This window comes from Homo sapiens, chromosome 21 (assembly GCF_000001405.40).
Source record: "Homo sapiens chromosome 21, GRCh38.p14 Primary Assembly".
Taxonomy (NCBI): Eukaryota; Metazoa; Chordata; class Mammalia; order Primates; family Hominidae; genus Homo; species Homo sapiens.
Window position 1 is genome coordinate 32,339,688 of NC_000021.9, and position 24,831 is coordinate 32,364,518.

Sequence of the window (24,831 nt, forward strand, 5' to 3'; positions counted from 1 at the left end):
TCACTGTGTTAGCCAGGATGGTCTCGATCTTCTGACCTCGTGATCCGCCCGCCTCAGCCTCCCAAAGTGCTGGGATTACAGGCGTGAGCCACTGAGCCCAGCCCAGTGCATTTGTTTTCTTTATGACTCAAACACCAAAAGAACTTCCTGCTTAGTGGAAACGCCAGGAGGCATGAGAACAGCTGCGCCTGAGAAAGAGGCAACTTAGTGCCTCCCAGGTCACCTTGCCCGGCCTCCCTCCTTCCTCACTCTCCTCTACTCAGAACTTCCATCAAATGGTTCAGAAGCCTTCTATGTCCTAAATCCCTTCAAAACCCACTAAGGAAAGGAAAGCAACACGCTCTAAAGAAAGTGTTTTTCAGTCCTATACGAATAACTTTAACCTAAGATGGAAAGAAATATCATAATTCTGTGATGGTAACCTATAGTTGTCATTAACCTGGCACCCACTCTCACTTCTCTCTCTCCTCTTGTGTGAAATACTTTTCTCTGTTTCAAGTTCATGGGATGGTCAGGGAAATGAAAATAATGCATGACTATCTGATTGCCCCAAACTGAAGAGCTGGAATGTATCAAGGGTCAGGAAGGATGTTAAGGGAAAATGAACGCTGACACACACTCTGTTGGGAGTGCAAATTCGCTGGCCGGGCACAGTGGCTTACGCCTGTAATCCCAGCACTTTGGGAGGCCGAGGCAGGTGGATTACCTGAGGTCAGGAGTTCGAGACCAGCCTGCCCAACATGGTGAAACCACGTCTCTACTAAAAATACAAAAAATTAGCCGAGCATGGTGGTGCGTGCCTGTGGACTCAGCTACTTGGGAGGCCGAGGCAGGAGAATCACTTGAACCTGGGAGACAGATGCTGCAGTAAGCCGAGATCACACCATTGTACTCCAGTCTGGGCAACATGAGCAAAACTCTGTCTCAAAAACAAAAACAAAAAATTTGCTCAACAACTTTGGAGAGCAGTTTGAGCATCTAGAACTGAAGATGCACCCACACTAAAAGCTAGTAAGTCCCCAATCCACCCCAAGAGACATGATAGAGACTGTAAGACTATAATGGGAGAGAATGAGAGAATGAGACAGAGAAAGAGAAAAACAGAGAGGGAGGGAGAGAGAGATGTGATGTAAAGGGGAGAATAGGGAGAACAGCCTAGACATTTGTCAGTAGAGGACTGGCTAAGTAATCTGGAATATAGTCAAAAGACCGAATATTCTACAGCAGTAAAAATGAATGACTTAGATCTACAAGTATCAGTACGGGTAAATTAGAAACATCTCAGTGAACAAAAGGATGTATAAAGAATGATACATTAAAAAAAAAAGAATGATACATTAGTGTAAAATGTTAAACACGCTAAATAATACTGTTTAACAACATACTAACACTCAGTGTATGAAAATACAAAATAAGATACTGACGAGACAAAGCAGAACCTCAGAAGAGTGTTGACCTTTGGTTACAGAGGGATGAGAAAGAAACAGGACAAACACAGAAAACTGTCAGCATGTATTAAATGTGGGGGCTACTATTATTCTCTGCACATTTCTGTATTTCTTTAAATAGTTCTTTTAAAAGACTGCTTCTCTCATCATCAGAAGCACCCTGTGTCAAGAGGCAAATCATTTAACTTCTCCAACTTCTATCTCTAAAAACGAGGTGACATCGGCTCCACCACGTGGATTATGCTAATAACAAGCTATAAAAGAGGCTTTGCATGCTGAACGACATTCACACCTTTACCGAAGGGCACCAAGAAAATAAAATCAACTTACTTGAGTCCCTTCTTCACGAATTTCTGCCAGTCACCAGGATCAACTTCATTAAGTGCATGCTATGAATAAAATAAGTAAGAAAAACACATGAAACATCTCAGTCTACAAAATACTAAAAGGCCCCAGCTGCAGAGCCTTCAGAAAGGCATCTGCCTCCATGGCCTGACTACCTCCTCTGTAAAACCCATGATCAAAGGGTTGAAAAGAGGAGCGCTGGTGTCCCCTTCTGCTCTGACACTTGTGATTCAACCCAGCAGCTGCTCTGTTCTGGACTCTCTGTGCAATGATTATTTTTTTTTAATAGAATAGGCATACAAATTTATTAATGTGCGTGGGAAAAATCACTGAGCAGTTACTCTTGTTTGCACAATTCTTGACAAGCATGTGATAGCTCAAACTTACAGGGGCAGAGAGCAGAACCAAGATTAATCTTAAAACAAAAACTAAAATGCAGAATATGAAATTACACTTAGAGCACTTAGAGCCATGTAATATGAAATTACACTTAGGGCCATTCAGTAAATATGAAACACAGTCATCCAAACAATCCACAAGAGCATGAAGGTTTTGGATTTTTTTTTTTAACTTAAAAAAAATTGTTTGGTTATTTCTGCTAGTAGCTCTGACATTTTATCAGCATAATTGTGTTTATCAAATAGTCAAAGGAAATTTCCTGAGTAGTCCTGTTATTTTTTTCCTTTGTCTATCATTTCAAATAGCACTAATAGATTTGTAATTAGCCTTTTATTAAATAGCCAATGAAAACTACTAGTGTGACACCTTTACCCAGCCTCCAGGACACAGGGTTGGATGACATGAAGAGGTCTGTGGAACTGGATGATCAATGCTGGCTCCAGAGAGACCAGCTACAGGCCGTGTGTGTGCAGGCTGCTGCCTCCCACCAGGCTGGCTGTGCAGTGGAGGCCACAGTTCCAGAAATCACAAGGAAATCCAAGGAGATCCTGGACCCATCAGCTGAGGTATATCTCACACTCGTGACTTTTTTTTTTCTTTTTTAAAAGAGATTGGGTCTTGCTAGGTTGCCAAGGCTGGAGTGCAATGGTGCAATGGCTATTCATAGGCGCAATCCCACTACTGATCAGCACAGGAGTTTTGACCTGTTCTGTTTCCAACCTAGGCCAGTTCACCTCTCCTTAGGTAACCTGGTGGTCTCCTGCTCCAGGAAGCACTAGTGCCAACTTGTGAACCAGGAAAGCCGGAACCCTGGTCAGGATCTCCTCTCGCTCCAGAGCAGCTGGAATTACAGGCGCGTGCCACCATGCCTGGCTCATCACATTTTTATATACATGTTCTCTTTCCCCCAGCATTTCCTGCAACTGGACATAAATGGCCAAGTGTGCAAAAATGGACCATGCAAAGATGTTTATCACAGCATTCTTTATCATAATAAAAAACTGGAAAACCACCCACAGCTCCAGTATCATACAACTGCGTGATACATGATGGTACATTTACCCATCTACCACTGACCACTAACAAAGTCACAGCAGGTCCGCAGTCATCGGGTGGGGAAAAAAAATCTCTAAATATGGTATTATGCTAAAAACAAACAAAAGACCAGGCTACACACAGCATGCATAATATCCTATTAATATATAAAATTATACATAATTTTATCACACACACACAGATATATAACAAGGTTTCTACAGGGAAATTCACCAAACTTATAATGAGATAGACTCTGGGTAATGGGAGTTTTTTTTTTGTTTTCTTCTCTATTTTTTGCAGTGTGAATACTTGCAATGAGTATGTCTTTTAGCCCTGTGATCACAAAAACCAGTAATTCCAAATTTTATGAGTGGTAGAGGAGAGTGGACATCATACAGTAGAATTCTACTCAGCAACAAAAAGTAAGAAACTACTTATTCCCACCACATGGATGAATCTGGAAAGCATCACTGAACTTAAAGAAGTGAAACGCATCACAGTTGACACACTATATGATTATACTGCACGGTTCCAAGTATACAAAGGTCTCAAACAGGCAAAACAACCTCAGGGTTACAGAAATCAAAAGAGTGGTTGCTTTGGAGGGAAGGGGATTTTGAGAAGATGCACAAGAAACTTTCTGGGATGATGAAAATCTTCTTGGATAGGAATGTGGGGTACACAGATACATGAAGTACACATATTTCTGTATATTTCAAAATATGTAAACTTACCTCAATTAAAAGAAAAGGCAGGTAAGGAGGGAGGCAACCCTCTAAAAGAGCCCAGTCTGTCATTCCATCATCAAGCCACCCACTGGATGGAGAGGAATAATGGCCAAATATCTCTAAATTTTGTGAAAACTATAAACCTACAGACCACGAAGCTCACTGAACCCAAAGTACAAGAAACTTGAATAAAACTACCCTGAAGTGTATCATTATCAAACTGCTTTAAACCATGTAAAAAAAAAAAATCCTAAAATCAGTCAGAGAAAGAAGACACAACACACAGAGAAACAAAGGCAAGAAAGGCAAGTTTCTTACTGGAAGCAAAGCAGGCCAGAAGACAGAAAAGCAACAAGTTTGAAATACTTAAAGGAGGAAAAAACTATCAACATAGAATTTTATACCCAGTGAAACTTCCCAACTTGTTTTATAAGGCCAGCATTACTTAATCCTTAAGACCAAAGACATTGCAGGAAAATAAAATTACAAATATCCCTCATGGACACAGATGCAAAAATTCTTAATGAAATATTAACAAATCAAACAATATATAAAAATAACACATCAAAATCAAGCAGGCTTATCCCAGGAATGCAAGGTTGGTTTAACATTCAAAAATTTGTTAATATAATTCATCTTATTGGTAGACTAATCAAAAAACAAGACATTATATAACATCTTGAAATGGAAAAAAGCACTTGACAAAAAGCATTTGACAAAATCCAAACATCCATTCCTGATAAAAGATGGTTCATCAATTCTGGGGTTATCCAGTATCTGCCACTCTGCCCCAGACACAGCCCCTCTCATTTCCTACAGGGCCATATTCATGCCACCTGGCTTGAAATGCATCTATAGCTTGGTTTGTCTAGCATACTCTTTCCCACAGAAATTTAATCTGGATCTCTAAGAAAAGACACTTACCAACAACGCATTTAATCTAAGCAGCATTTCCTTCTCCTGATTCTGAGTATTATCATCATCTTGCTGTCCACCACTGAAAGACACGATCAGCCACTTCACACAGGACTCCAAAAGGGTCCTTCTCCAGGCACACAGCTCTTCTGCTGACCCTTCCAGAGCTGCTGAAATGGAGTCGGCCACGATCCACCTGCAGCAGGAGATGAGAGTCAGAGACAGAGAGCAGGTTTAAATCCTTCTGACTTTACGTATAATCCAGCATCACAAAGAGCCATATGGGATAGATGCTGAGTCCTGCTCCCCACACTACCCACTCACAGGAATCACAGGCTTCCCTGGACTCTTACTCAAATGCCAAAGATATACCAAAATTTTTACAAGCAAGGGAAATACTATTAGTACACCAGGAAAAGGACACGTATGTCCAGACTTTTTCTAAATCAGGGTTTCTCAACCTCAGTGCTACTGACATTATGGGACAGATAATTCTACCCTTTAGAAGCCAGAAGCAACACCCTCTCATCCTAGTTGTGACAATAAAAGATGTCAGACATTGTCAATTGTCCCCTGGGAGAAAATCACCCCCAGCTGAGATCCATGGCTCTCAGGGAACCCGACCCAGCCATCTACTTGTGGAGATGTACAAGCTCCAGGCAGGATGGCTGGAAGTAGAGTTCTCATAGGAACTGCCTGATCACAGATGGGGCACAACAGTAATGCAGCAGTTTTTCAATGACTTACTCTATGAATTAAAAAAAAAATGACACCGAGAGTGGAACATCCTGCAACCAACCTGAGCCTTCATACCTCTTGTGACTGCTTGGGGTGTGAAGCAAGCTGGGCAGGCGGTCCATGAGTACACTGAGATCCTTGGCTCGTGCAAACGGGACCAGCTGTGCCAGGATCTCCTGGTACAGCCCAGATGCTGGGGGACTGTCAGTGCTAAGAAGCCTGCTCTGTAGCTGCCTCCACAGGGTCTTCCTCAAGACAGGAATGACAGCGGAAGACACTAGGGCAGAGATACAAAGGAGAAGTCATCACACCCAATGGTGGGCTGCAGCCAGCTTGGACCAGCTCCTAGGAACTGGTTGCTATATTTTAGGTATCCTGTGACCCTGGTGATGCCACACCGGTGGCCTGAAATTGGTCACGGCAGGAGTACTGACACCATGGAAACTGGCACACCTGTCTCCTTCAAGGGTCCTCCCCTATCTCATCAGTCAACACTCTTGATGGATACTCTTCAACACAGGGGGCCCTGGCTATAGACGCTATTTCTAAGCTCATGATGAGACCATGAGTGCCAAGGTTCTCAATTCATATGGGATTCATTCTTCAAAGCCATGGAATAGGGAGGGTAGCTGCTATGGTTTGGATGTCTGTCCCCTCCAAATCTCATGTTGAAATGTGATCTCCAGTGTTGGAGGTGGGGTCTAATGGGAGGTGTTTGGGTCATGGAGGCAGGTCCCTCATGAATGGCTTGGTGCAGTCCTTGTGGTAGAGTGAATGAGTTCTGGCTCACCCTATTAGTTCCCAGAGTGCCAGGTGTTAAAAAGAGCCTGCCACCTCCTGTGCCTCTTGCTTCCCCTCTGGCCGTGTGATCTCTGCAGAGCTGGCTCCGCTTTTTCTTCCACCATGAGTGGAAGCAGCCTGAGGCCCTCACAAGAAGCAGACGCTAGCTCCTTGCTTCCTGTACAGCCTGCAGACGCATGGGCCAAATAAGCCTCTTTTCTTTATAAATCACTCATCCTCAGGTCTTCCGTTATACCAATGTTAAATGGACTATGACTAGAAGACTTGCAGGGCACTGTCTTACTTTTTAAAACCTCTGTCATCAATGATAGGAAGTTATGCAAAACAGAGGCAAAGTGGTGAGTAAAAATCACCCATGCATTCAACAAAAGGGAATTACATTAAATTTGGGGTAATTGAAAAGTGCCTCAGCTCTGAAACCCAGTGAGTGGAGACAGAAGAGAGAGCTGAACCCAGGCTGCCTCGACTCAACATCAACTCATCAACATCTCCCCAGAGGGCAGGGAACCCTGGGACATGGGATGGATTGGCACCCAAGAACTCCTTCAACGTAACAGGACAGCCCTAAATAACCCCCGCTACTGTACCCAACTCCCGCCAGCTTCATGTGGGGGAACTCAGACCTGATGGGGCACAATGGGCTGTGCCTCAAGCCACAAAGTAGGGAGACTGAAGGGAGACAGGGTACTGGGGAGAATTACTCCACCTTTCTCCATCTTCAGAGTTGTGTCAGACACTGGAAACTAACCCACATCCCAGAACCTGAATTTCTAGGGTTTAAAAATGGCCATGCAGTTCACCTTCTTAGCCCGTGCAACTTAAGACCCCAGCTGCCCAAAGCTAGCCTTTCCCTTACCTCCTGCTGGGCGTGTGAAGTGGCTCCGTGTCCTGCACTGGAGGTACACATGGATGAGGGGAAGGAAGTCGTCCAGGTCCCCCTGGAGGCCGAGCCCTGGGCCAGCCTGCAGGCACCACTGCTCGAACCACAGCAAGTGGGTGCAGCTCTCCTGGAGGAGCAGGGCAGCGATGCTGAGGGCCGCCTGTGTGCGCCGGGCCAGGCAGTAGTCAAGCAGATCAGCCCCGACTGCGGGGGCCAGCACAGGGTCTCTCTGCAGAGTGTGGAGGAGCACTGTGTCCAGCTCGTCCACTGCTAGCGTGGGCAGCAGAGCCCCCAGGCCTCTCACATACTCGGAGGACCACAGGAGCTCACCACTCTGCAGCTGATCCTGGGGGCTGCAGGTCAGCAGCTGCACCAGGGTCTTTCCAAGAGCATTCAGGTGTCTTTCCTTCCCGGGGGATTTCGTGGGTTGCTGGGTCACCAGGTGTGTCTCAGGCAGGCTCAGCAAGGCCAGGGTGACCTCACGGAGCTGGGCACCCTCCATGTATGGATGCAGCTCCTGCAGGGCCTCCAGCTGCGGCGGGGTCTTTGGTGGTGATGTGGCCGGGCCCGCCCTCCTGTTCTGAAGTTCCTTCAGCACACTCTGGGTGATGGCCTCTGAGTACCTGGCCAGAAGGCCCAGCTGCCCAATGTTCTGGAGGATCGGGGCACTTGCTGCCAGCAGCTGAAGGACCCCTGCACTAAAGTGGGTGGCCAGGAGCTTCACGAGGACAGGGCTGAGCGTGTGCGGCGGGAGGGCCTGCTGCTCCAGGGCCAGGAACCAGCCCTCCAGGGTGGGGTGCCTGAGGATGGCCACAAGCACCTCCTCCAGCGTCTGAAAGGCAGTGACGAGGCACAGACGTCACATAGAGCACAGGGCTAAGACAGGGGCGGCAGCTGCCACGCAAGTATTCACTGTTGTTAGCGAGACAGAGAGCAGAAGGCCCCTTTCCTAATCCATTCCATCCTCAAGCCTACATTTCCATGCCCCCCTCGGGGTGCCCAAGGCATCGCAGCCAAGCCCAGCCAGAGCTGTCATCCAGTTATACCACAATCGCCTGAGACACTCCACCTGCCCCGGAAGGACTGGACTGTGACCTGGCTGGTGCCCCACCCACATTTGCGAGCACGTGTCTGAAGAACCCAGCCTGGGTGAATTTCCAGCATGGGAAAAGTGCTCTCTATGGTCACTCAGTGTGGGGGGCGGGCCGTGCAGAAACACCACCATGTGAGTAAGATCAATCAGCTGCTGGCTTCTCCTCAGCGGCCTTGCCCTCCTAGATAAATCTGGTTGAGGGACAGGGGTGTCTACTTACAGCTGGGGTGATGTCAGTTTAGATGAGACCATGTGTCCGGGGAAAGTGGGTTGGGATTAAACCACCGTGTGTCTACGATCCTGAATTGAAAGTAATCCTGTCTCCACTGTCAGGAGGAGACTGGGCCTTGAGTGACCCCACAAAACCCCCAAACTAGTTCTGACCTGGCCAACTGAGTAAACATTGAGCAGAATGCAGTTGAGCTCCCTTGCTGGATTAGAGAATAATTTCATTCAGTCATTCCTCACAGCCCTGCTGAACCGATTCCTCGCCAACGACACTCCACCAGTTCCCAGAGACAGAAAGAAATTTTCTTTCCTTATTTATTCTTAGGGAAGGAAAGAGGAGCCTATCACAGTCTCCACTCAAGCTTTACCAGTTAAAAACAGCAAAGCACGATTACATATTGAGAATGCTTTGCCTCACGCTGACTGGCTAATAATAGGTGGTCCCACCCAAGAAAATACCTCCCAGAAAGGCAACTCAGAGCTCAAAGGAAAAAAGTGTATATTTCAATTAGATTGTGCAACAAGGAACGTGTCTGCCTCCTGAACCCGGTAAAACAGGTTACATGGCAAACTGTGAAATAGTCATCTTGGCCCCAATTAAACAGCCTGCTTCCCAAGACTCCCAACAGGACAGAAAGGCTGCTGCTTCTCAGAGCAGTCTATTTCCTGTGTGTATTTCCTGTGAAAAGCAGCACCTGCTGCCCACCTTTCACTCAACACAAGCTGCAGCTATTCACACTGTTTCTCAGCAGGCTCACCTCACACAGCGTGAGAGAAAGCTGTCTGCAGGGAGGGTGACTGTACACAGAAAAGCAACAGGAAAGAGAAGCCCAAATTAAACCGCATGCTGGGCGGGTGCCAGGAAGTTTTTATGATCTCTGCTGTAGTTTCTGCATTTCCCAATTTTCCCACAATGGACCTATGTTTGTTTTTAATCAGAAGTGAAGAGAAAGCCACTGCCCATGACTCTGAGAATAGGCTACCAGGCAACCTGTGGCGGTACCTGATCATTGGCCAACTCCAGCGAGGCCACGGACTCCATGTCCAGGAAGAGGTCGGCTTCGGCCCGGGCGGCCTCGCATCTCTGCTGGTTCTGGGCATCCAGCTGCTCACAGTGGACAACCAGGCGCCTGAGGAGATCCAGGAAGAGCTGCAGGAGGGGCGGGCCCACACTTCTGCCCAGCTGTGAGGACAAGAGCACGAGCCTCAGCAGGGAAGAGACGGGTTCACAGCTACCAGGCAGTGACTTCCAGGGCCCGTGTTTTCAGAGCAGGAGACTCGGGAGGCAGGCTGAGATGGCAACTCCTCACAGAGTGTGTGAGACACCCATCAATGCAATGCCATTTCTCAAATAAGAGATGTGTCTTCCTAAGCCTTGGTGAAACACAAAGGTTGTTTTGACTAAACTGAAAGGGACAGGCCCACCTCAAAACTTAAAAATCCCTTGAACCACATCAGGAACAGAAATTCATCAGCCAGTTACTAAATTAATACACTTAAGAGGGAGGGCTGGGCCAGGCTCAGTGGCTCACGCCTGTAATCCCAGCACTTCGGGAGGCTGTGGCGGGTATATCACCTGAGGTCAGGAGTTCAAGACCAGCCTGGCCAACATGGCGAAACCCCATCTCTACTAAAAATACAAAAATTAGCCAGGCGTGTTGGTGTGCACTTGTTATCCCAGCTACTAGGGAGGCTGACGGTTGCAGTGAGCTGAGGGTTGCTGTTGAGGGTTCAACAGCTTGAACCCGGGAGGCAGAGGTTGCAGTGAGCCAAGATCCTGCCATTGCACTCCATCCTGGGCAACAAGAGCGAAACTCTGTCTCAGAAAAAAAAAAAAAAGAGGGAGGGAGGGCTGGGTGCGGTGGCTCATGCCTGCAATCCCAGCACTGTGGGAGGCTGAGGCAGGCAGATCACTGTGAGCCCAGGAGTTTGAGACCAGCCTGACCAACATGGTGAGAACCCATCTCTTCAAAAAACACAAAAATTAGCTGGGAATGGTGGTGCATGCCTGTAGTCCCAGCTACTTGAAAGGCTGAGAGGTTGGAGGGTGGCTTGAGTCCACTGAGGTCAAGGCTGTAGTGAGCTATGATGCGCCACTGCACTCCAGACTTGGTGACAAAAAAAACAAAGGCCCGGCAGGGCTGCCAACCCATTCTACTGTAGGAAGGGCTCTGTCTTGACCAGGCTGCCCTGAAAACAAAGTCAGGCTGACCTGGCTCCCATGGGCAGGGCTGAGGGACATGAAGAGTTTGCAGCTGAGGTCTGGACAGAACAGCACTTAAACTGCCTCTGCAGTGAGTTCCAGGGAGCAAGAGTGTGCTGGGCTGTGGGCCCGACTCAGAGAAGGCTTAGCTCTCTGGTGGCAGAGCTCTGAAGCCTGTGGAGGATGGGGGCAACGCTGACCTGGCCGAAGTTCTCCACAGTGCTCCGCAGGTAGAGCAACACCTGCTTGGCCGCGAGCAGGACCTGCTGCATGGACAGGTGTGGCATGGTGGCCTGCAGCTGCACCTGGATGTGCTCGTCCCGAAGCGCTTGGCTCTCGTAGGCTGCCTGCAGCAGGGCTGTGAAGGACGAGGCCAAGGGAAGGGCAGGGGGCGAGGGGCTGCCCTGTGCCTGCAGCAGCTGAGGGAGACAGCAAAAGGCCGGGGAAGAGAAAGACACATCACCACAGATGAAAACGGTCATAGGCACAGGTAACACACAACAAACGGACATTTCACAAAGAAGCACATGCTGAGATAAGACTAACGAATACGGGACCGTGTGGCATTTTACTTCAGTAGAGTAAGTTCTCGTACCATGTCATGCGTACTTTCCTAGAGCGTTTCCACTGACCACATGTGAAGGCCCAAATTCATGCTGCATCTACACCCCTTGGAGAACAAGGCAGAAGCCTGTCCCACAGGCAGGAGCCACGTGTGACAGAGGCAGGATGTGAATCACAAGAATCACTAGAAAGGGGGAAATCAGCCCACAGAGAAGCCCGCTCTGCGAGTGGCCTGCCTTCGGAAGACCTTCCCCAGGAGCTGCGGGTCGAATATCTTGTTAGAAGGACAGAAGATGGGCAGAACACAGAGAAATTTCTGGAGCCCTTCTGCCTCAAACTGAAGTTATTCATTTCTTCTAACATTACTACCAAGCTGCCTTCTTTATTTACTCCACGTGGCTTATGTTGCTATAATTCCATTTGACTTCCTTAGGCTAATAAAACCCAAGGCTGTAACATGCCCTGAAACTTGGTGGTTGTCAGTGTTCCCCAGGCCTGCAGCAGCATGTGTGAAATGCAAATTCTCAGGCTCCACCCAGACCTGCCGGGCCAGACACTGTGGCTGGAACCCGGCAGTCCAGTTTGAAAAGGCCCTCTGGGGAATTCCGACACACCCTGGAGGGTGAGAACCACTGCTAAGTCTTATTCCACAGAAGGTGGACACCCACTCCAAGCAACCACGAGGGGCAGGACAGAACCTCTAATACTGCCACATAAGTTGCTGTCTGGCTATCACTGTGGCCTACGTGTGGGGGAAGGTGGCAACATTATGGGTCAGGGCTCTGGAGCCAGACTGCCTGGGCCAAATCCTGACTCCGCCACTGACTGGTGTTGGAACCGCTCTGGGCCTCGGTTTCCCCATATGCATAAAGGATGGTGAGAGTCCCGGCCTACTTCTCAGAGTTACAGTAAGGATTAAACGGCCAAAAATACACATAGTACACTTAGTACAGGACCCGGTATGCCTCCAAAAAACACACAGAAAACATGCAATCGCTGTTGGCTATTGCTACCAATATCACAAGATAAGGAGGGTCTAAACTGACTGCTTTTTCGAATGCAGCTAAAATGAAATGAATGCACAAAAATGCATACCACAAATTTCGTGCCCCACACAGCATTGTAAATACCCTGCACATTGGAGCCAGAATCCCATTAAGAGAATGTAGTCCCCAGCAAAAGAAAATATACTTTTTCCTTTCCTTCCCCAACTTTAACAGAAGAGACCCTGCTGGAGGCCTTGAGGGGCCATGTGTGACAGCTGAGCACAGTTTGTCTAGGGCCATGCTAAGGTCTGCAGAGGAGAGCCAGGAGACAAGCACGCACAGATAACAAGGTAAGGAAAAAAAGGAAGAGGCAACGCTCCTGCCCCAGGCTGGAAGAGGAATTAACCTATTATCATTATCAGGGAGCCAATGGGGAATTTAATTTGGCTGCATCACTGAGTCCTGTGTGTTCAGTTATGTTAGCTGAGCACCAGGGATACTACTTAGCTTCCTCTCTTATGCAGGGGACTTTAGGGTAAGAAATTTCACCCTGCAGGCTGTCTGGCTACCCAACTGCACAGCTGTGGCCCAGCCAGCTGGGACCCTGGGAAGAACCCTGCACAGCAGCAGTGACCACAGCTGTGGCTGCAGCTCACCCAGGCCTCTCGGGCTTGCTCCGGGATCCAGAGGCTGTAGTATCTGTTAAACCGTGAGAGCTGCTGGCAGCAAGGCACCAGGCATGGAGGCTCAAGCTTATCATATGCCTGGAGCAGGAGACACAGAGCCAGGGGGTCCCTCTGGGTGTGGAGGAGGTCAGTCAGCACTGCCGTCAGATATGTCACAACGTTTTCCGCTGCAAAGGAACGAGATGCATATGGGAAGAGGCTGGCTGGGCCCACCCTTCTGTGACCTACCAACACCACCTTCTTCCACATACAGGCAAGACCCTGAAAAATTCATGCAACTCCATGAGGGGACACATAACCACAGGGAAGGAATTGCTACTACTGGAGACTGTACTAGGCTCTGTTTTATTAAACATATACAGCAAAGTCAGACATCCACTCCCGAGGCCCAGGAGTGAAGACCCAGGCATGTAAAAGGCCAGGCAAAAGCCACCTGGGACCAGGACTTGCTAGGTGCTCACCAATCCGTTTACTGTGCCTCGGCACACAAGCCTCTCTTGCGTGTAGGCTGGGACCACATGCCTGGTTAGTCACTTCCAGGCCATAACACCCCTTGCTTGACTGTCCACCCTTTCCAGTTCCCTTTCCATGGTGATCTTGGAAGCCATAAATTGAGATGGCATAGCTACAAAACGGGAGCAGCCTGAATCCCTGACCAACCTCCTAAAGGACAGCCAACCAGAAGAGCCACCTGGCCTGTATTGGACCACAGCATGGTCTAGAAACAGACCCTTATTTATTAAACTACTGACAAGTCAGGGCTTATTTGTTACTGCAGCAAAGCCTGAGTTCTCCCAACCAATCATGCTACTATAATCTGTGAGCACTTCCTTGGGTCTAAGTTGCCTGGAAAATCCAACAAGTATGAAGGATTCATCCTCTACATCAACGTATCAAGAATAAATGTTGACGAAAAAACATCAACGTTACAGAGGCTGTCTGGGCAGCCAGGCAAACACATTATTTCAGACTCACGCTCAAATGACCAATTTCCCAAAAGCCTAGCCAGCCCCAAGATCCCTCCCACTGTGCTCCTAGCTCTGCTGGCTGGGTAGCTATCACTCTGGGGGTTCTGACCTCCTATTGCCCTGGATTCTCAGCAATTGATCCCAGAGCCCCTGGAATCCCACCTCCCACCCTGCACAGACTAGCCGGCCAGGTGCAGCCAAGACATCCTGACTATACATAGGTACCTGCTTCATTGCCTGTCCCAAGGAGCAACTTATTCCTGGCTTCCAGGGCCGCAGGGACTACCGCACTGAATGGGAACGTGAGCAGGATCATGTCTTCACTCAACGTGAACCCTATTTCCTCATCCAAGCCTTCACTGCCCTCCACCAGGACATCCACCATGTCGAGAACATCTGAGACAGAAAGAGGAGAATCCAGCTGATGTGAGAGCCACTGAAGGGTTTCACTGCAAATACCCACAGGGAGGCAGAAGCAGAATACGTGCAAAAAGAAAAAAGCCAAATTCCTCTTGGGGGGAGCATTTAACATAGTTTGACCCTAAACAGACAAAAACATTGCCTATGAAATCTTTTGTATCTTTGTCTGATAAAATGCAGGATATTCAGCTGAGGTGGTAATAGGTTGAAGTTTCCTCAAGTGACACAAGAAGCCCAGGAACTTTAACCCAGATATTCAGGCAAACAAGCCAAAATCTGAGAGGCAAAATAGTGTGAGGGTTAAAGCACAGGCCAGAGCCAGAGTACCTGCGTTCTAATCCTGACTTTGCTATGTAGTAGCTGTATGAGCTTGAGCAAGTTATTATACTAAACCTCTCTGTGCCCCAGCCGCTTTATCTCTATATAAAATGAGTAGAATAATAATACTCTTTTCTCTTGGGGTTGCTTATGAGATTTACATGAGTTAGAACTTAAAAAGAGCTTAAAACCCTACCTGGCACCCAGTAAATACTATGCAAATAAAACAACAAGTGTTTCCCATTACATGAACACATAAGGAGATTATTTCCAGAACAGGCTGGTCTTTGCTGCAAAGGGACTGTGTGCACTTGGCCTAGGGCATTAGTGCAGTTCTTGTTCTCAATCTCTTAACACGTCACTGTGGCTTGGTCTTCAGACCTCTGAGCAGCGCAGAACAGAATGGAACATACCGTCAATGTGGGAGATGGGAATGCTCATGTCATCGGCTTCTTGCTTCGTCATAGTGGCCTGCAGCATGCTTGCTTCTTGGACAAAGTCAGATGCTTTGTCTGTGTATGAATAGGGATTCGCCACCAATGTCAATAAAATCTGGGCATTAAAGAGCCAAATAGAAAGCATTCAGATGGTCACAGGTGAAATGAAGAAGCCAAAAAATGTCACTGGTCAAAATCAAGGCAAGTGATAATATGTTCAATCCTTAATTAGAATAGTTTTACTATGAAATTGGGCCTAAACTTTTTATTGTGGAGTTAAAAAAAAATCTCCTTTTACTATAGCACTGCTTTTAATACCACTTTTGGTTTACCTATTCCCCTATGCAAAAACAAATTCCCAAAAGGAAATGAAACAGCATGCTGTAATATATACGTATTTTACAGATTCTAAAACTATGTAGATTCTGAAGTCTCAGCAAGAATTAGGAAGTAAGCCAGGACGAGAAGCCTTTTGGTGCTGGTGCATCAAAAATGCCTCGATGACGCTAAGAAGTTAATATAATTATCTCTGAGCATGTTCCTTTATGTGGGAAATATGTGCTTACGCGTTCCAGAAACTGAATCACAGTCTCTTTGTCCTCTTCCATGGTGTTCTCTAAATGCTCCAGCCAGAGCTCCAGCTCCTTCCAGGTGTGCTCAAACACCCCCGTGTCCCGCAGAATCTGCCAGGAAGTAGGCACCGGTGAAAAAGTCAGAACAGAACGCGCTTTCTTTCTTTTCTTTGAGACAGGGCCTCACTCTGTCACCCAGGCTGGAGTGCAGTGGCATGATCTCGGCTCACTGCAACCTCCGCCTCCCGGGTTCAAGCAATTTTTCTGCCTTGGCCTCCTGAGTAGCTGGGACTACAGGAGTGTGCCAACACGTCCAGCTAATTTTTCTAATTTTTTAGCAGAGACAAAGTTTTGCCAAGTTGGCCAGGCTGGTATCAAACTCCTAGCTTCAAGTGATCTGCCTACCTTGGCCTCCCAAAGTGTTGGGATTATAGGCATGAGCCACCACACCCAGCCTACAGGACCCACTTTCTGTCGGAGGTCAAGCAGTTTCATTGTGCTCCAGCACCACACGCCCAAGGAGCACGCAGGGGGTGAAAGTTTCATCCCATTTTTCTCTGAAAGTTAGTCTTTCAACATAACATCCCCAATTGTTGAGGGAAACAAGCAAATCATTCTATGCTCTCTCAAAGACAATATAATCTGGCCAGGCATAGGGGCTCATGCCTGTAATCTCAGCACTTCAGGAGACTGAGGTGTGAGAATTGCTTGAGCTCAGGAGCTTGAGATCAGCGGAGGCAACATAGTTGAGACTCTGCCTCTACAGCAAATAGTAATTAAAAAAGTAGCCGGGTTAGTGGTGGTGCGCACACATGTGGCCCTAGCTACTCAGGAGGCTTAGTTGGGAGGATCACTTGAGCCCAGAAGGTCAAGATGGCAGTGAACCGTGATTGTAGCAGTGCACAGCAGCGTGGATGACAGAGCGAGAGCCTGTCTCAAACAAACAAAAAAGACAATATGATCCCTTCTCTCAAGGCTACTCATCGTTTATCCTCATTTCCTAAATAAAAAGAAGGGAAAAAATTTGGCTGCTACTTAGGAGCCAAAGACCTCTGGATTTTCACAAAGACCCAGGTAAATGTGTAAAACTTGACCCCTCACAGCTACTCAACCCTTAGCCTGTATGAAATTCTCCAAGGTCACGAGCCAGTCACATCATATCACTTCAAATGCAGACCTCAAGACTCACTATTCCAACAGAAGAGAAACTGGTATGAGGCAGGACTTGAATGTGCAGAAGTGACGAAATGATTTCCCTAAATGGTCTGAAAGCAGAAACTCAGAGTCTAAGAGGCCTCACGGCACAGAGCCCTGCAACAGCATGCACCAAAGGAAAGCCTGACTGTGCCAATTTCACCTATTTGCAGTCAGTGATCACGAAATCTGGCTGGGGTCAGGTTCACAACTGCACTACCTGGAAGGAAATGGCAACCTATGGAGGTCAAGACTTAGACTGCCACATTCTTTAAGCAGCTCAAGAGAGAAGGCTGTAAGTGTAGCAAGGTTATCAGCATTTCAAATAAAAGTGAAAGGTCAAACCTCTGTACCCTAAACATAGTGCATCCCCCAAGCTGTTTGTTGCAGAGCAGAAATGAGGACTAGATGTCCTACTGCTATCATAAGACCTGACATAGCTCTGGAAACATGAGTATCAAGGACAAAACAAGATAAGGAAATAAATTCCTATTCTCTTCCACTGGCTTTGATGACCCATGTGCTGTGGGTGATGGATTCTGGCAAAAAGGCTGAAAGCCCTGGATAACGCCAGAGCCTGAGAAGGAGGAAAGAGGCACTGCCTAATAAACACCAAGAAGCCAAAATTTAGTATTGAGCCTACAACAAGCTAGAAATGACCTACCTAAAAAAAAAAAAAAAAAACATTTTTCCAATGCACCAGGCTGCCTCCCAGGAATGTAGCTAAGTGTAAGACACAATAAATTAAACTGCCATAAAACCTTCTATTTTAAAACTAAAAACAATTCCAATACCTCCTGAATTCAATAACTGTTAACTAAACACTTACCATAAGGAAGATCTATACAAAATGCTTTTCAGAGTTAGAAACTGGTAGAAAATGCTCACCTTCATGATCAGAAGTTTGGTCAATGACTTCAGTTGTAAATGGCTACTGGTCACAAACATTTTCATTAGTAAGTAAAATACTGATCGTTCACCTCCAATAATTTCTGCATCTGGGCCTTCCTAGAGTTTAAACAATATTACGTATTTTTAGTATATATAATTACATATATAATTTTAATATATAGTTATATATTAGAAACATACCATGGGGCCAGGCGTGGTGGCTTACACCTGTAATCTCAGCACTTTGGGAGGCCAAAGTGGGCAGATCACCTGAGGTCACGCGTTGGAGACGAGCCTGGCCAACATGGCGAAACCCTGTCTCTACTAAAAAATACAAAAATTAGCCAGTCATAGTGGTGCATGCCTATAGTCCCAGCTACTTGGGAGGCTGAGGCAGGAGAATCACTTGAACCCAGGAGGCAGATGTTGCAGTGAGTCCAGATGACGCCACTGCACTCCAGCCTGGGCAACAGAGTGAGACTTCATCTCCAAAAACAAAAAACAAAACATAACGTAGCAGGAGCCATCACTTGCTGAACACACAGTATGCTGCCAGGTCCTTACCTCATCTCATTTTAACCACAATTTGGCAGGAAGAGTAGCAAGAGTAAGCACAGGTAGCCCTGTTCCTGTGCTGGAGCCGTCCCAGGGGCCCAGCTTACACTGACTCACTGAATCCTCCCAACACCCCTGTGAGGTGGGTACAGCTGCTACCCTATTTTACATATATGGAAACTGAGGCACTGGGAAGGCACCTGGCTGTTTACTGGGAACCAAGGCAGATGCTGTGCTGTCTGGTGGATGGTGAGCAGGAGGGACCCCAGGCTGTCTGAGTCCATCAAATGATGTCCTTGTTACTTTCATCACGATGCCAGTGCTGATAGAACGGATTGCTTATGCATAATTTATCCTCCTCAAAAGGCTTTTGGGCTTTGAACAAGTCTTCAACAAGTACATGGAGCTCCAGATCCCCAATTCAAACTCTACTGAGCCTGTGTGTCTCACTACAGCCCTTGGCAATGAGGACAACCCTGAAAATGGTGAGGTGCTGGTTAGCTTAGGCAGAGCCAGCAGATATAAGCATAAGGTGGGGCGCAGGATATAAATTCACACCAGCTCTTTCAAATTATGAGGCCTCTGTTCACTTTCCAACTAAATTATCAAGATCCCATGAGCCTAGTTGAGCTGGAGTGAAAACCAATCAGCAATGCCCGAGCCTGTCACCTCCCCAGGACTGGTGGCAATGAACTCACATCTCAGTGGAATGGTGGCAAGCAGAGCTCTAGGCAGCACCGCCTGGGTCCCATCCTGGACCCACCACTCATGGACAGGACCCTGCAGAAGGTTCTGACACACTGTGCCCAGCTGCCTTGTCTTTAAGTAACGTGAAACGAGCAGCCACATGAAGCACCCGTAACCTGCCCAGCATGCGAGTAAGTTCTCAGTAAGAATGATCCTCAGCTACGATGCAGGGAAGCCTCAGAACGGGGACTCGAGGGAGAGACACATAGTCCCAGAGGCACAGCATTCTTAAGTCTTCCTGGAAATGTCGCGTGTAGAAATGCCAACATACATTTCCATACTACTGGTTCCATATAAGATCTAAGTCATTAAAAAGTACATCAGCTCAGATTATAAGAAACACTTGGACAATGATTAATTTTGCTTGATAATGTTCCCTCCTCCTCTTTGCATAGAAATGATGCAGCATCCTGGGCTTAAGCCCAGCATAAATATATGTGGCATCCTGAGCTTCCCTTTATGATTTAACATTATGTTCTCCAAAAAGTTCTGGTAGATATTTTATTAAAGACCTAGAAAAAAATGCTGGCAATGTCTACTGATTCTTCCACCAGCCTCAACCCTCTCCTGACTTGGTTATCTATTCTCATCTCGTCTTTAATTCTTCCAGGATGAGGACAAAAGAAAAGGAATGTATTTTATTTTGTTTATTATTTAAAAATGAGAAAAATGTAAAATGTAAAACAGTTGAGATAAACAAGAAACTCCCTGGACCCAGCAATGTATCTGCAGCAAGGACATGTTAAGCACCATATTTTACAAAAGCAAGCAGGTTCCCAGGCCTCCTGGTTCATGAATCAGGACCTCTGCTGTGGGTCTCTCTAAAATGAGAACTGTTAACCTCTTCCGTCTTGCCCCGTCAGGTTCTGAGCCAATTAGCAATTCATCAGGCCAAGAAGCCACCCGGCCCAGCAGGTAAGCTTAGGGCAGAAGACTGGGAGTTCTGCTTCCTACCTGTGCCTTTAACCACAGAAACTTGCTGGCCGGCAGCTCCAGGGCCACCTTCAGCATGTGGTGCTGCAGAATGGGAGGCACCTCCTCTCGAAGGCCCTGCTCAGAGATGACACCTATGGGTGAAAAAGAGGCAGGCTGAAAAAAGTCACATGGACGTGGGTGCCCAACAATTGCTGCCCTGGCCAGAAGGACAAGGAACTCACCATGGAGAAAGAAAAAGGGTGGATGCAGGGTTCTGTTTCTCTGTCCTGTGCTCACCCTCACATGGCACATCTCGCCTGATGTACCCCCACGCCCTGGTCTGTCCAAATCTTCCAACAAAAAGCCCAAATCCCACTTGCCTGAAGAAGCCCTCCCATGCCACACAGCCCACACTGACCCCAAACAGCTGGAATCAGGCACCCACCAAGTGCCCTCCAGGGGTAGGCTCTCGCTAACATTCTCCCTGACTCCCCAGACAGCAAGCATTTTGTGGACAGAGACTGCAGCCACCTGCACCTGAGATTGGGTTCTCATCCTCTAGCCGGCTCTCTGGGCTTCTCCTTTGCTACCAAATACTAAATGGCCACATTCTAGTAAATTTCATATTTCCACAGCAAAGAGAACTTTTCACCTTCAAATGATTAAAAAGTGAATTGCAGCTTTTGAAAAGGAGTATTTCAATAGCTCATATAAATTCCAAGAATGATATTTTTGCAAGTCTTCTCCCATAGGCCCAATTATAAAGTGGATCAGACAAACTTTACCATCCAGGAAACATGACCAGACAAGCATTGTTACTTTTACAAGTTTGAACCTGACTCAGTGGGGTAAAAGATGAAGTAACTATGTCAAAAGTGTCTCTGCATAAACAGGATGTCCCTTCTGCAGGCCCCTCATTTCTGCTACACCCTCTGCAACCCTGCTCCCTTGAAAAGTGACTTTAGAGTTAACGTCACATGATCGGATTTGTGGGCCATTCATGTAGGTTGCTCAGCACTCAGAAGCTGGCTGGCTTCTTCCATTGTTCTCACTGCTACCAGGTGTTCATCTGATATTTACTTAAGGAAGACCAGCTATTTAAAAAATACTGATGCAAGTACAATTTCTCAGGCTGACGGATGAGCACGCAGCCAACCGTCCACCAGCCTTCCTGATTCTTGGCTGCAGGGCTCTGCTCTGGTTTATTGGCAGCAACAGTGGCGGCTTGTCTGCAAGACCTTGAAACCCACCTTTCAGGAGCTTGCTGAAGTCAAAGTTGTACTGCATGACCACGTGGGGGACCACCTTCTGGTAGAGGCATATGACCTGGAGCAAAACAGCTTTCAAAAGAATGGTTTCTGCATCATCTGCACAAAAAAAAGAAAAAGAAAGAAAAAGAGAAAAAAGAAAGAAAGAAAGAAAGAAAGAAAGAAAGAAAGAAAGAAAGAAAATAGCTTGAATTAGAAAACATACTGGTTCTTTGTCCTTGAGCAGCTGAACCAAGTGTGGCACCACACTGCAGCCAACTGCATGCTGTACACCGAGGCTGCAGACAGACTGCTCAGTACCTAGATCTAATGAGTCAATGTGGTAAAACGTTAAAACTGTTCAGGGGGTCTGGGTTAAAACCTCATTTCACTGCTGTGACCTTAGACAGGTTCTGGTCACTCTGTCTCCCTGTGCTTTCGTGTCTTCATCTGAGCAACAGGGACATACAGCAGGGCCTACCCTTGCAGGGCTGCCGAAAGGATGAAATACGATACAGACATAAGACACAAACCTCAATGCCTGACCAACAACAAGGCTCTGAGCTCTATCTGCAAACCAAGAGACAGCACCCCCATACTGTCATCCCTGGAAAGGCCAGAGCACATGGCACCCAACACTCAAGTCTTCAGAGAGACACAGTGCTCGCATAAAGATGGGCACGTTTCTAACAGATACTAAAATTCAATCTATGATTCCTTTCCAATTCTTCTCCCTAAGCAAAAAAGGATATAGACACATTCACAGCCAGAGGTGCCTTGAAACAAAAACTGCTCCAGGACTCTCTGGATAGGAGCTATCCTAGGCTGCCAGTGTCAGCTCTGTCCCATGCAAAAGGCAGAGGGTCCCCCTCACCCCTGAGACCTTACCGCACTGGTGAGCATCGCAGGCAGCCGGGGGCCCATCGCTCCTTTTCTGCCCTTTCTTGTCATCCTGTTTGGTCTCTTGCTTTTTAAGTGACTGCCAGACCCACACGACAGTGTTCAGGTCTGGCAAAATCTAAATGGGAAAAAGAAGCAGAACATTAGTTGTAGTCAACCACAAAGGGAGACAAATGAACTGAACACATTAACAAGATGCAAAAAACAGGGAGGGGGGTGCGAGTCTAGAGGAGTGCGTGTAAGAAGGAGAGGGAAGAGTGGTGAGAAAACAGGCCCAAATCCACATAAGTTCTGCTCTGCAGTATAATTTTTTTTTTTTTGAGATGGAGTCTCACTCTGTCGCCCAGGCTGGAGTGCAGTGGGGTGACCTCAGCTCACTGCAACCTCCGCCTCCCAGGTTCAAGTGATTCTCGTGCGTCAGCCACCTGAGTAGCTGGAACTACAGGCACCCACCATCACATCCAGCTAATTTTTTGTATTTTTAGTAGAAGCAGGGTTTCACCATGTTGGCCAGGCTGGTCCTTGAACTCCTGACCTCAGGTGATCCACCCATCTCAGCCTCCCAAAGTGCTGGGATTACAGGTGTGAGCCACCGCGCCCAACCATGTTCTGCAGTATAATTTCTAGAACTATACACAGTAAGGATTTGGTGAACAGGCAAGTGCTGATCATTAAAACGAACCCCTTAAACCTCATTCACCTAAGCAAAAGACACAGGGAACAAAGAAAGACTTTCTCAGGAGCAGCTCAGGGAAAGCTGCCCTGTGTAACTGGGGCTCTCAGAGCAGCCGGCCAGTTTACAGAAGCCTGGTCTTCAGCCATAGGAAGCAAGAGGGGCTTCCTGAGCCACTGCATCCCTTCTCACTGGGCCACAGTGTGGTCTATGTGTGTGCCTGCAGCCATGGGTGAGGGGTAAGGACACAATCTACCCCTCGACAACATCACCACGGCTCCTGATTGAACATGAGGTCCCCACCAGAGACAGAACCCCTGTGAGAGAACACATGTATCGTCTAAATTCTTACTCTGCACAAGGACTTTGGGATCATGCTCTGTGACATCACTGCCTACAATCACAAGTGGCAGGTCTTCTCAGCTGACCCTCAGCACCCACGCTACCACACTGCCCACCGGCCTGTCCAACCCTGCGGCTCCAAGGACACATCACTTGGCTTCCACCCTAGGGCTGCAGAATGGCCTTTTCCACCTGGTGAGGTCTGGAAGGAAAGCCCAAACCCAGATCAGAGCCTACCTTGCTCAGGGCTTCTCTGAAGAGCTGCACGAATTCTTCCATCATCACAGCTGTGTACACGCCTGATTCCTGCCACACCTCTTTATTCAGGCAGTGGTCAACAGTTTTTAATGCCCTCTTCAAAATGACAGAAATAAGGGATAAGGCTGTGTGCCTCACTGAGGTGCTGTCCAACTGGGAAGAAAAAGAGTTAAATGCACACATGTCTCTAGGATACACAGATTTGCTAAGCTATGGGCTTGGCTGGCATTTGCCCCTCCTCAGGTCACTCACAGGGAAAGCTGCATGAAACTGCTGGTCTCTACGCTCTGAGAAGAGGCGACCTGGGTACCTCGCCCTCCTGACATCCTCTGGGTCTGACTTCAGCAATTGCCAGGAAATGACCACTAATGGTGGCATCCAGCAGTAGTTTCATTTTTATCATCTGCTCTTTGGTAAGCCTTGAGACAACCACTCAGCTACCATGAAAGTTCTCCATTAACAACAGATCTCACCAGAACCCACTCTGCCACTATTTTTTTTTTGAGTCAGGGTCTCACTCTGTCGCCCAGGCTGGAGTGCAATGGTGCGATCATAGCTCACCGCAGCCTCAAGCTCCTGGGCTCAGGCAATCCTCCCGCCTCATCCTCCCAAGTAGCCAGGACTATAGGCACCTACTGCTTCTGGCTTTCTTTTTTTTTTTAAGAGATGAGACTTAGTATGTTGCCCAGGCCGGCCTCAACCTTCTGGCCTCAAGCCAATCCTCCTGCCTCAGCCTCCCAAAGCACTGGGATTATGAGTGTGAACCACTGTGCCTAGCCTTTTTTTTTTTCCTTTTGTAGAGGCAGGGTCTTGCTATGTTGCCCAGGATTCTACCACTATTAAAAGCATTAGCATCAGGTGGAGGAATGGCCAAAAAAAAATGCATCAGGTACTTTAGTATGAAAATCCACCTCCAAGCTCAATGAGCAAGCAACCCACATCACAGGCCTGTGACATCCAGAGCTCTTGACTTCCAGTCAGAATGACACCTGGGAGAGTCACTCACTGCAGAGACTGAGTAGGGTTCAAGAACCTGTGCTACTACCAACAGTAGGAAAACAGTCCCTGCCCCTGCTAGTCACAGTGTGTTCTGGGGCCAGGAGGATCATATGATGGCATCTCCCGGAGCTCAGGAGAAATGTAGAAGCCCAGGCCCCGGCCCACACAACTCAAGCAGAATCTGCATTTCACATAATCCCCAGGAGAGCCCTCCGACACTGAGATCTGAAAAGCCCTGGCTGGGACACTGCAGACTGACAGTGCGGTAGAAACAAAGAGCTTTTCTGGTTTACTTTCAGCTCAATAACCACGACACCCCAGAGCCCCAGCATTCCAGTCAGCT

General features: G+C 47.5%; 1 protein-coding gene across 1 annotated transcript in view, besides 1 other annotated feature; it reads right to left on the bottom strand.

Annotated features, from left to right (window-relative positions):
• The window catches only part of URB1 (URB1 ribosome biogenesis factor), an 81,995-nt gene that overhangs the window by 28,670 nt on the left and 28,494 nt on the right, over positions 1–24,831 (bottom strand). Inside the window, exons 11-25 of the mRNA NM_014825.3 lie at positions 23,469–23,642; positions 22,205–22,334; positions 21,320–21,436; positions 20,109–20,221; positions 17,850–17,969; positions 15,762–15,878; positions 15,172–15,310; positions 14,246–14,416; positions 13,023–13,219; positions 11,017–11,235; positions 9,617–9,796; positions 7,269–8,124; positions 5,687–5,888; positions 4,883–5,069; positions 1,779–1,837 (exon numbers count right to left, since the gene is read on the bottom strand). Coding sequence (NP_055640.2) covers positions 1,779–1,837; positions 4,883–5,069; positions 5,687–5,888; positions 7,269–8,124; positions 9,617–9,796; positions 11,017–11,235; positions 13,023–13,219; positions 14,246–14,416; positions 15,172–15,310; positions 15,762–15,878; positions 17,850–17,969; positions 20,109–20,221; positions 21,320–21,436; positions 22,205–22,334; positions 23,469–23,642 — 2,981 coding nt within the window. The remainder of the gene's footprint in view (positions 1–1,778; positions 1,838–4,882; positions 5,070–5,686; positions 5,889–7,268; positions 8,125–9,616; positions 9,797–11,016; positions 11,236–13,022; positions 13,220–14,245; positions 14,417–15,171; positions 15,311–15,761; positions 15,879–17,849; positions 17,970–20,108; positions 20,222–21,319; positions 21,437–22,204; positions 22,335–23,468; positions 23,643–24,831) is intronic.
• Positions 12,030–12,139: an enhancer, noted in NCBI's record as "active region_18361". NCBI's record gives its function as "activates an Ori minimal core promoter by ATAC-STARR-seq in GM12878 lymphoblastoid cells {active_cell/tissue: GM12878}" and the evidence as "EXISTENCE:reporter gene assay evidence [ECO:0000049][PMID:35858748]".